At 39.6% G+C, this 12,700-nt stretch overlaps 1 protein-coding gene across 24 annotated transcripts in view; it reads left to right on the forward strand.

The window, feature by feature from the left end:
* Positions 1-5,033, forward strand: part of PTPN13 (protein tyrosine phosphatase non-receptor type 13) — a 220,847-nt gene extending 215,814 nt beyond the window's left edge. For all 24 annotated transcript variants that reach the window (XM_011532165.3, NM_080685.3, XM_017008511.3 and 21 more), the window contains 2 exons: positions 918-980; positions 4,328-5,033. In XM_011532165.3, the coding sequence (XP_011530467.1) occupies positions 918-980; positions 4,328-4,423 (159 nt within the window). In that variant the 3' untranslated portion in view covers positions 4,424-5,033. The remainder of the gene's footprint in view (positions 1-917; positions 981-4,327) is intronic.

Raw genomic sequence — 12,700 nt, forward strand, 5'->3', positions numbered from 1 at the left:
ATTGTATTTTTGTAAACATTGGTATTCAAAACTACATAGACCGTGATCAACAAAAAATAATACTTCAATTTTATACTTGTTTTACTGGGTGTTTTTTAACTGTGTGCTCAGAGGCCTTTTATGCAGTATTTCATTTTACCCTTTATAGTCTTTAGGCTTGTATAAGATAGTATTGTTATCACACTTTAAAGATAGAAATAATTGAAGCACAAAGGAAAGTATTTTTTTAATGAAAAAGCTTGTATTTTTGTATTATCTATGGGTAAAAAATGTATATTTTATTATAAAATTAATGCTAAGTAGTTTCTAAACAATTACTCTACATAAAAAAATTACTATAAGAGTATAATCTTACTTTTGAACTCAAATTAATATAAACCTTATTTAAAATTTTAGAATATCTTACCATAGATAATGTGTAATTAAAATCATAGTGTCTTAAAAAGAATTTTAGTTAAAAGCACTTTACACACTAGCTGTAGTAATTTAAGTAGGATGAAACCAAATAGTCTTTTTTTCCCTCATTTCCAACTGTTCAATGTCAGCTGAAGTCAAAAGATCTTTTTTAGGTTGGAAACACCTTTAGCGGAAGAGCAGTGTGCAGGAAAAATAATTTACCTTTTTAAATTGTAATATTAGAAATTAGTCACACTTCAGGGGGAAGATGATTTCTTTTCTTTGGGGGATTTTCAAATAGATTAACCTTCCCTAATTCCTAGAAAGATAAAAAATAAGAATACCAAGTGATGACAAAGTCCATTCGCCAAGTCATTTTGTCCAGGAGAGTTTCCCAAGACTACCAGAAGGGGAAGAAGAGTGGGATACAGAATTTTACATAAGCCTCCCCTCTGTGATCCTTTTGAGATTCAAATCCAGTTATCCTTTGAATCTAACACATATGTGGTTTCCTCTGACAGTTTGACATCTCTGATTTGGTGCGCTGCATGAGACTACAAAGACACGGAATGGTTCAGACAGAGGTGAGTCATGGCTGGGCCTCCTAATGAGAATTTTTGTAAAGATTCTAATATTTTTTAAGGTTCTTATTAAACCATTTTTCTTTTTTGAGAGTTCCCATGTTAGAGCATAAAACCAAACATTTACTGCAGTGAGGGGCATTTTTTTTTAAATGAGGACTAATTCAGAAAAAAATTAAAATACTTCCAAGCTTTTTAAAATGTTGCCTTTTAATTTAAAAATGCAATATCTGCACTGAAGAGATTACAGAGAATGGGATAGCATGCTGGGGACAGAGTTTGAGAATGGTACAAAATACTATGTAATTAATGGCATTCCTTCCCTATTTCCAACCTGAAAAAGAGATAGAAGGTAACATTCTTGCTACAGAAATTCCCTGAGAAGTAATGGATTCATCAGCATTGACTGGAACACAGCAAGGCAGGCTGGAGTTGCTTAGCTTCAAGAAGACATTCTGTAAGGAGTGTGAATACATGGGTCCATTTATCCTCTTTTGATGATTTTCGTTTCTCTTACCTGAAAGGAAACCATCACCCACTGACACAATGGCGTCCTTCACAGGGAGTGCCGTATTTAGAGTGTCTGTCTTCACTGAAGAGTTCCACAATCCTCTTTGTTTATAATGGAAGAGTGGGGGATGTAGAAGCCGTTTTCAAATATCCATAAATTAACATTTCTCTACCTCTTGAAAAATAGGGAAATTTGCTATCTTTAAAAATTAGCATTTGCCTACTTTCCTTTCATAAACCTTTTTAATTCAACTTGTCTTCTAACTATTAAGCTGATTTATAATCACGCTTTTTAGGTAAGGAAAACATTTTGATTGTTATAAGCAGCACTTTACACCTAGAAAGTTCATTCATTCATTTGTTCATTCAACAGATATTTATTGAGTGCTTACTTTGTATTAGGAACTCTTCTAGGCCGGGCGCGGTGGCTCACGCCTGTAATCCCAGCACTTTGGGAGGCCGAGGCGGGCGGATCACGAGGTCAGGAGATCGAGACCATCCCGGCTAAAACGGTGAAACCCCGTCTCTACTAAAAATACAAAAAATTAGCCGGGCGTAGTGGCGGGCGCCTGTAGTCCCAGCTACTTGGGAGGCTGAGGCAGGAGAATGGCGTGAACCCGGGAGGCGGAGCTTGCAGTGAGCCGAGATCCCGCCACTGCACTCCAGCCTGGGCGACAGAGCGAGACTCCGTCTCAAAAAAAAAAAAAAAAAAAAAAAAGGAACTCTTCTAGGTGCCTGGAGCACATCAGTGAATAAAACAAAGATCCTTGCTAGAATAACAAAGATATTCTTGCAGGATACTGATAAGGATGGAAGACCATAGACATGTTAAACATGTAAATTATATAGGATCCCTGAAAGTGGTAAGTGCTTTAGAGAAAAGAAAAATGAAATAGGTAAAGGGAATCAGTCATGGCAGATTGGGGGTACGATTTTAAACAGGGCGGCACCATTGGCGAAGTAACACTTAAGCAAAGATTTGAAGGCAAAGGAGAGGGTCATGTAGATCTCTGGGGACAAGAGCCTTTCAGGCAGAGGGACCACCTGTGTGGAAGTCCAAGGGTCTTGAGTGTTCAGGTATGGTCACAGCCAATGTGGCGGGCAGGGCACGAGAGAAGGAAGAGTGAAGGAGGAGGTGAGGTTAGAGGGGAGGTGACAGGGTCCAGGACTTTGGCTTTTCTCTGAGTGAAATGGGAGCCTGGAGTGGCAGTGATCTGACTCACATTTTAAAGGACTACTAACCTGCTGTGTTAAAATGACACCAAGTCTGGGGAGGAAGGTGTAGTGTTATAAGCAAAGAGATCAATTAGGTGACAAGCAGGGGTGGCTACAGCTGGAGTGGTAAGTGTGGACAGAGTGAAAGAAACAGGACGTGATGTGAAGTAGATTTGCTAATGGGTTGTATGTGGTGTCAGAGAAAGAGTCAAGGATGAATGTGTGGAAAAGTTAAAATACAGATAAGCAAAAAAGAAACTTAAAAGGCCACTTGTATTCCTACTGTCAGAGAGCTGTTAATGTTTTTAGGAGATGTTCTTATATTCTTTGTCCTAAACACATGTGCACACTCCTTCATGCTCACACATACTATATATAAAATAGCTCACACATGTAGCTATTTTAAATGAGATTCAACTGTGGTTGTTGTTTTATTACTTTTCATTTAATATATTGTGAGTTTTTTATTTGCAGACTCAATTCCTTGCCAAAAAAAGTCAGATCTCTGCACCATCAACTTAATAGAAAATAATTTCACCAAAGGAGTTCATTTTCAAAGAACTTTGATTTTCATGCTTTTGTTCCAAAATATTTAAAGACTTATTTTTTGGTTTGTTTGTTTGTTTGTTTTTTGAGATGGAGTCTCACTCTGTCACCCAGGCTGGAGCACAGTCCGTGATCTCTGCTCACTGCAACCTCCACCTCCCAGGTTCAAGTGATTCTCCTGCCTCACCTTCCTGAGTAGCTGGGATTACAGGTGCCTGCCACCTCACTTTAGTAGAGATGGGATTTCACCATGTTGGCCAGGCTGGTCTTGAACTCCTGGCCTCAAGTGATCCACCTGCCTCGGCCTCTGAGATTACAGGCATGAACCACCATGCCTGGCAAGACAATTATTTTGAATAGCTTCTTAAGCTGTTAATTTTTTGACATTTTAAAACATCAAAATGAGCTCAACAAATCCAGAAGAAATTATGTAGGAAGGTTATTTTTCCACTAAGTATAATCAAAGCACAAAAAATATTGTAGTGGCCCACCAATCAAAGACAACTTCAGTTAGCACTCTAGGATAGTTCCATCCCGCATCCCTCAGGCTTTTTCTTTTCTTGTTTTGCCAATCTGGTTTCTATTATAATTTTTATAATACCACACAATTCTATACCCTGCTTCTTTTTTTTTTTTTTTTTTTTTTTTTTGAGACTGAGTCTCACTCTGTCACCAGGCTGGAGTGCAGTGGCACAATCTCGGCTCACTGCAACCTCCGCCTCCTGTGTCAAGCGATTCTCCTGCCTCAGCCTCCCAAGTAGCTGGGACTACAGGCGCGTGCCACGACGCCCAGCTAATTTTTGTATTTTTAGTAGAGACAGAGTTTCACCATGTTGGCCAGGATGGTCTCGATCTCTTGACCTCGTGATCCACCCGCCTCAGCCTCCTCAAGTGCTGGGATTACAGGTGTGAGCCACCGCGCCCAGCCTACACCCTGTTTCTTGCATTCAACATTCTAACAAAATTTTTCCATATTTTCAAAACTCATCCAACATCACTTCCAATAGTGGTATAGCTATATATATATAATATTTACATTATACATCTAAAGTATTCTATCTCACTTTTTTTGGCCATAGGATCAATATATTTTCTGCTATCAAGTCATCCTTTATGTCCTGACACGTCTTCAAGCAGAAGAAGAGCAAAAACAGCAGCCTCAGCTTCTGAAGTGACATGAAAAGAGCCTCTGGATGCATTTCCATTTCTCTCCTTAACCTCCAGCAGACTCCTGCTCTCTATCCAAAATAAAGATCACAGAGCAGCAAGTTCATACAACATGCATGTTCTCCTCTATCTTAGAGGGGTATTCTTCTTGAAAATAAAAAATATTGAAATGCTGTATTTTTACAGCTACTTTAACCTATGATAATTATTTACAAAATTTTAACACTAACCAAACAATGCAGATCTTAGGGATGATTAAAGGCAGCATTTGATGATAGCAGACATTGTTACAAGGACATGGTGAGTCTATTTTTAATGCACCAATCTTGTTTATAGCAAAAATGTTTTCCAATATTTTAATAAAGTAGTTATTTTATAGGGGATACTTGAAACCAGTATTTAAGCTTTAAATGACAGTAATATTGGCATAGAAAAAAGTAGCAAATGTTTACTGTATCAATTTCTAATGTTTACTATATAGAATTTCCTGTAATATATTTATATACTTTTTCATGAAAATGGAGTTATCAGTTATCTGTTTGTTACTGCATCATCTGTTTGTAATCATTATCTCACTTTGTAAATAAAAACACACCTTAAAACATGAACAAGCCAAAACTGTGTGCAGACAAATTAGACATTTTCAGTGTGTTATTTTTCAACAACACCTAGGCCCCTGGGAAGACAAGGACCTCTAGACACCACTTTCCATCTCCCTAGTTGGCCTCAGTCATGACAGCCATGGAGAGTAGAGGTGTTGTCAGAGATCCTGATAGATCTTCACTAAATACTGATGTGGGGGTCATGTACTGGCTTAACAGTAGCTCAGAAATTCAGTCTTTCTTCCTTCTACCTCTTTGTGAATGTTGCCCACTTATTGAGCCCAATTTATATATAAATCAGAATATTTTCAAGTCCTAGCCACAGTACTCAACTGACCAAGGGCTAATCAAAGAAAACATATCAAACTACCTGGGGGGCGGGGGTATATTTGGTTCTGCAAACAGGAAGGAAAAGAGATTGACTTCAAAGCTGCTTTAGCTTAATGGTTCTCTGTTCTCAGTACTAAATTCATTTCACTAAATTCTAATTCTAACAGTATTTCTCCATTCAGCCACGACACTGTAACTGGATGGATGTTCTTGACCATGAGTTGTCCAGGTTCTTGGCATGTTGAACAAAGAATTGAACAAAATGCTCAGACAAAGCAGTGGAAGATTAAAGCATAGATGTTTTGAAGTGAAAGTACACTCCACAGAGTGGAAGTGGGCTTGAGCACATGGCTCAAGAGCCCTGATTATAATGTTCCTGGGCTTTTATTGAATTACAAGAGCATGGTAACACCCCTAAGTACCCTTTAGAGGCCTCTGATAGGTTACACCCTACACAAATGAAGAATTCAGCCCAGGACCAATCAGAGGCAGGATTCTGCCCAGAACCAATCAGAGGCATCCTGCCTGTGATGTATAAGCAAATGAAAGTTTCAGAATGGACCAATTACAGACATACCCATTTGTGACATAGGGGAGGGGAGGTTCAGAGAGGCATGGGCATTTGGCCCCTCATTACTTGGTCCTGGAAAGGTGGGGTTTTCCTCTTAGTCCAATTACAAGAAGGCCTTGGGCTTCCTGTCTCTAGACTCTTTTCTGCCTCAACACCATTCTAAGACCCAGGAAATTGCTTGGCTCATCCTCATAAGACTGCACCAGTTCTGAGCTAGTTGACTTGAATTTCCAAACTTAAGTGCAGCAATTTGCTGGGACCTATTCCCGAGAATCTGGGGCTATTTGAAGGCAGAAGACAGTATCAATAAACATAAAGCCCCACAGTAACTAGCTAAAGCCCCAGCAGATAAGAGGCTTGGGTCCTACCTCAGAATTGGCTCTGAATATGGCAAGAGAAGCTTTACCATTCCCACTTCAATCAGAAGAGTATTATAGATTGGGTTGTAGCCGGAGATTTCATTTGAAAAAAAGGTTTCTATTGCTTTAAATGACATTTGGAAATCTCTTTTCTGAAAGAGTTGGAATCATGAGGCCTTGTTTTCCTGCACTGGCATGTGAAACTAGGCCAGCAGAGCGCTGGGGGCCAGTACAGCTGGAGGTGATTAGCTCGCATCTGAAGTCAACATAGATGGGAGAGGGTGGAGCTGGAGGTTGCTTTTTCTGGAACGAATGTCACTAGGAAATGGAATGGGGGGAAGAAAATGCAGATTTAGCTTTATGACCTATGAATGGAAACTTCATGATGGTAAATATGTTACTGCCCTCAGCTGGGATCTGGCTGCACCAGCATGGAATGGTATGAGCCACTTGCAAGGGCCAGTCTGGTTAGAAAGCAAGGTGAGGCCACGCAGCTGGGGTGGCACATGGAAACACTCATCTCAAATTAATGAATAAGTACAATTCAGCTCTTAACACAGCTTGTATTAGCTAAGTGCTAGAAAATATAAACTGAAGATATGGAATGGCTTAAACGTAATAGTTTATTTCTAGTTTATCTAACAGTTCTGGAAAAGTGAACAGCTTGGCAATCAGATCTACTTGGCTCAGTTTTTAGCCCGGGCTGATGAAAGTACTGTAATCAACACATAGCTTCCAAGGTTGAGAATCGCCTCCATTCCCCACGAAGGATTGCCTATGGAGAGGTTTTACGAGCCAGGCTTACATGCAAAACACATTGCTGTCACTCATTCCATCAGCAAGAACTGGCCAAATGATTGCCAGTGACAACTCTATGCTATAGAAGGGGAAGCACATATTGTAGTAGAATATATTTACAAAACTGAACTCGTTATTATTCTAAAAGATTGAGTATCTTAGTGTAGTCCTGAGCATTGCAGAATTAGAAACAATTTTATCCCAAAATCAAAACTTCAGTGCATGTCATTAGTAGAGATAATTCTGAATTATTATGGCAAACAGGAAATAAACAGCTGTTGAGAAAAGATTCTTTTACATCAGTGGTCCCAGATAGCCTGCCAGATTTTTTGGTTTAAAAAGGACTAGTTATCTATATGTAATGTGATAATCCAATAAATTTAAAAAACAGCTTAATACACCTATCTTCCAGATACAGACACCTTGATAATGATAGGCTTTCCATTTTACATAATTCAGAAATATTCATAATTCAGAAACATTGTAATGGTAGAGATAAATGTAATAAATTATAGGCTGACCTGCATAATATTTTAAAGCCAATCGAAACTTTACTGTATCAATTTGGGATTATATTTGACTGCAAGTAAGCAAAAGCAACCAAACAGGCCTACAAGTTGTAAATCAATAAGTATGTGAGACATGTCTCAATTTAGAAGTTTATTTTGCCAAGGTGAAGGACATGCCTGGAAGAAATGACATGGAATCACAGAAATAGTCTGTGGTCTGTGCCTTTCTCCAAAGATGAATTTGAGGGTTTCAATATTTAAAGGAGAAAAGTGAGCTGGAGGGGAAAGAAGAGGGGTATGGTCACATCACTGAACCCACATGTTGCAGGAGAAAAGGAGCAGATAGGGAAATAGTTATGTATTTATCTTGCACTCAGCACATAGATAAGGTGAACGTAGAGTAACTACCTGTGGAGATATTTAACCTTTTATCTGTAGCTATCTGCTTAGGAACAAAAGGAAATGCAGTTTCTTGCATGACTCAGCTTTCAGCTTCATTTTTTTCCTTTTGGCGGAGTGAATTGGGGTCCCAAGTTTTTATTTTCCTTTCACAAATTCTAGAGGGCTTAGAGTTTATTTTCTTTCCTTAAGAAACCAAGCTCAGAAGGCAGTTGCTCAGAAGTAGGCAGTTAATTCTATAGCTCAAGAATGTCAACAGCGCTATAAATATCCTTGGCCTTTCCTTGGCCTGGAAGTGGCTGCCACAGCTCCAGCTATTATATCCACATTCCAGAAAAGAAACAAGAATTGGCAAGGAAAATGGGTCAAACAGTACTAGGGCAAGAAAGCAAAATTTCCCAGAAGTCAAGGGCAGACTTTTCCTTCTGTCTTAGCAAAATCTGTCAGATGCCCATCTCTAGCTTCAAGAAAGTTATTTTTAGCTAGATGTGTTGCTGTCTAGCTATGAACAATATCTTGATTCTGTTCATAAGGACAAAGACAGCAATTGATACTGGGTCCCAGCAAGTAGTGTGTGCCTTTCCAATTCTGCCTCAGTTTCCACCATTCCGTATAAGGTAGCGAACACTATGCCAATTTTTCAAGATCTTCATACATATTTAGAAGATTCTGAATTTGTAACTATTGAGGAGATTCACTGATAGGAAGTATTTAAAAGTAGTCTTCAATTTTTACAGGTTTAGAGACATAGTTTTATTCACTCAACCAAACTATAACCATATTCCAAAGGTTGTGCTAAGCAAAACCTCAGGACACTGATAAACCATGTTGCTGATTTATTAGCTTACAAGGAAGCTATAGGTGGGTCTAACAGAATGAGGAAGGCTGGACATTCAGAAGGGGCTCCTCCTGCTGGGGAAAGTACATGTCAAGGCCAATGGGAAGGTTGCCTAGAGACCAACATGTCATTCATTAACTGGGTTAGGCTGAATGATCCTCGACGCAAAGGGTATTTCTGATTACACAAGAAAAAAGTAGGGGATGTAACAAGTATTGATCACTTATGGATTGGACCAGGTGTTTTCACCTTGCCTCGTTTTCAGGTTGTTCAGGATTGAATGTGTTATCAACCTTTTTTAGAGAGGAAACTAAACCCCAGAGGGATTGTCACTTGCCCAAAGTTGCCCAGATACCCAAGGTAAACGTTCAATTTCAGCTCTGACTGACTTCAACCAATAGCTGTGGAGGTCTCCTAGCTATTAAAGTAGAATGCAGGCTGGGCACGGTGGCTCACGCCTGTAACCCCAACAATTTGGGAGGCCCAGGCAGGCGGATCACCTGAGGTCGGGAGTTCGAGACCAGCCTGTCCAACATGGGTGAAACCCCATCTCTACTAAAAAAAAAAAAATACAAAAATTAGCCAGGTGTGGTAGCGGGTGCCTGTAATCCCAGCTACTCGGGAGGCTGACGCTGGAAAATCACTTGAACCTGGAAGGCGGAGGTTGCAGTGAGCTGAGATCACGCCATTGCACTCCAGCCTGGGCAACAAGAGCAAAACTCCAACTCAAAAAAAAAAAAAAAAGTGGAATGCAGGCAGCCCTGACACAGCCTGTGTTCTCTCCACTGCACTCTGCTGCCACGACCATCCAGCTGCCTCTTTCCTCTTAGACATGGACTCATTCTGCTTAACATGATTTCTCTGGCCCCACTTCTGAGTTTCATATAGGTCCCAGCTTTTATTAACTCATGATTCTTTACATCAATTAGAATGCAACTTACTCAAATCGGACTTTTTTCCAGTTATATTTTTTGTTCTAAAGATAACGTGGCCTTCTGAACATCTTCACTATTTCAAGTTCTTGTCAGTAACATGTTTACAAACCATCTATGGAGATGGCCATCTTCTGATGTGTTGTTTCTATCTTAAAGGATGGCCTTTGGTATCCCTCATCCTTTTGGTGTCCCTCATCCTTGGAACGTCCTAACTGTTGTAAATACTGACCATATTGTTAAGCTTTCAGAACAGCATTAAATTTTACCATTTTGTTTTAGGTGTCTATGTGGAGAAACAATTTAGAAATTCATTTTTTGTGGATTCTTTAAAACTCATGGAGCCCGGGTACGATGGCTCACGCCTGTAATCCCAGCACTTTGGGAGGCCAAGGCAGGCGGATCACTTGAGGTCAGGAGTTCAAGACCAGGCTGGCCAATATGGTGAAACCCTATGTCTACTAAAACTACAAAAATTAGCCAGGCGTGGTGGCACGTGACTGTAGTTCTAGCTACTGGGGAGGCTGAGGCAGGAGAAGAATTGCTTGAACCTGGGAGGTGGAGGTTGCGGTAAGCTGAGATCGCGCCACTGCACTCCAGCCTGGATGACAGAGCAAGACTTCATCTCAAAAAAAAAACAAAAAACAAACAAAAAAAAACCTCACGGTAATACTCATTTTAGAGCTGGAAATCTCTGTTACTTGCAACTCTCCTAACTGTGTTCATTGCAGTGATCTATTCCCCTACTAGACTATAAACTTTGTGAGGGCAGGAGCCATGTCCCATGTGCCTGAACATAGCACAGACTAGCTTCTCATTATGTAAACATTTATCATATGGATAAAGGGGACTCTCCGAATAGTAAACCAACAGTTGAGAATTAACAAGTCACAAATCTGCATAGTTCTTTTCCATATAAAAAGTGCCGTGGCTCTAAGACCTAATGGGGCTCCTTCTGTACTACCACAAAGGCTTTCTGAATTGGTGGAAAATACAATAATCATTGTCATTGCATTAACCCACAAGTTATTGGGAATACTTACAAAATAACATTATAAACATTAAATCTCAAAACACTTTCTCACACATTTCAAAACTTACAAATAAGAATAGACACAAAATGGAACCAGAGTCCCAACAAAAACACATTATATAGGAAGTTATGTGATAAGGGTAGCATTTCAAATCAGTAGATAAAAGAATAATGATTCAATATATGATGTTTGGATAATTAACTATAAAAAAATTAGATTATTATGCCATACAGGAAAAATTCAAAATGGAATAAGTATGTATGTATTTGCTCCATCACAGTATTAGAAAAACATATGGGAAAATATTTTTAATAATTTCTAGTAGAGGACAGATTTACCTACTGCCAGGCATCATGTATTGCATGGGAAGACAAGAAGTACACACAGCAGCTAGTAAATATGTTGTGTAAGCCCCCAGAAAGAACTCCCTGAAAAGGGGCCAAATACATTCTCAAAAAAAGATTCTATCACAATTCACAATCCACACAAATATATAAATATGCTAACATTTGGCAGAGATCAGAGCAAAAAAAAAACATTCTTAATAAGATTAATAAGCTGAATATATTAAAAAAATAAAACTCTGTATTGCAAAAGACATAGAGTAACAAAAGATAAACGAGTAGGTAAAATGTTGACAAAACATAGGACACATTGTCACTTATCATTATGGTTCAAAATCTATACATCAAAAAGGAAAAGATACAATAGAAAAGCAGGCAAAGGACATAAGTTGCCAAGTGATTGTGAAAAATGCTTTAGTTCATTCAGTTTTTAAATGAAATTTTGTTTTTTGTTTTTTGTTTTTTTTTGAGATGGAGTTTCGCTCTGTTGCCCAGGCTGGAGTGCAGTGGCATGATCTCGGCTCACTGCAACCTCCGCCTCCTGGGTTCACGCCATTCTCCTGCCTCAGCCTCCAGAGTAGCTGGGACTACAGGCGCCCGCCACCACACCAGGCTAATTTCTTGTATTTTTAGTAGAGACAGGATTTCACCGTGTTAGCCAGGATGGTCTCGATCTCCTGACCTCGTGATCCACCCGCCTCGGCCTCCCAAAGTGCTGGGATTACAGGCGTGAGCCACCGCGCCCAGCCTAAATGAAATTTTAAATGAGATGTTTTAACCAATCAAAATTGATCATTCATTTGACTGGTGAGACTGTGGGAAACCAGGCCCTCTCAGGCACTGCTGTACAACGTTGCCAGATAGCAATCTGTCATACATTTCGGTAAGCAATTGGCTTGGAAATTCAAGTCACAGGAAGTGAGCCTACAGAAATACTTGCACCTAAAGGCAAAAGTGTTTGTAACAGCACTGTAATACTGTTAAGCTGAAAGCTATCTAAGTGTCCATGAATAAGGAGTGGTTAAATAAATTACAGTCCTTCCACACAATAGAATACTTCCACATCACTACTATACTAAAGAATGAGGTAGGTCAACACAGACTGACACTCAAAGATGTTCCATAATGTGTCATCAAGTGACTTACAAAACAATATATGGAATGATCTCAAGGTTCTTAAAATGATACAGTTTACATACACAGCTTAGAAGGATACACATGGGTCTTTCTTTTTTTTTTTGAGTCAGAGTCTTACTCTGTCACCCAGGCTGGAGCGCAGTGGCGTGATCTCAGCTCACTGCAACCTCTGCCTCCTGGGTTCAAGTGATTCTTCTGCCACAGCCTCCCAAGTAGCTGGGATTACAGGTGCATGCCACCATGACTGGCTAATTTTTGTATTTTTAGTAGAGATGGGGTTTCACCATGTTGGCCAGACTGGTCTTGAACTCCTGACCTCAGGTGATCTGCCCACCTCAGCCTCCCAAAGTGCTGGGATTACAGGCATGAGCCACTGTGCCCAACCATGTGTCAATCTTTAGAAAGTGAAAATACAGGGCATTCCATTTTTAA

This window comes from Homo sapiens, chromosome 4, assembly GCF_000001405.40.
Source record: "Homo sapiens chromosome 4, GRCh38.p14 Primary Assembly".
NCBI lineage: Eukaryota > Metazoa > Chordata > Mammalia > Primates > Hominidae > Homo > Homo sapiens.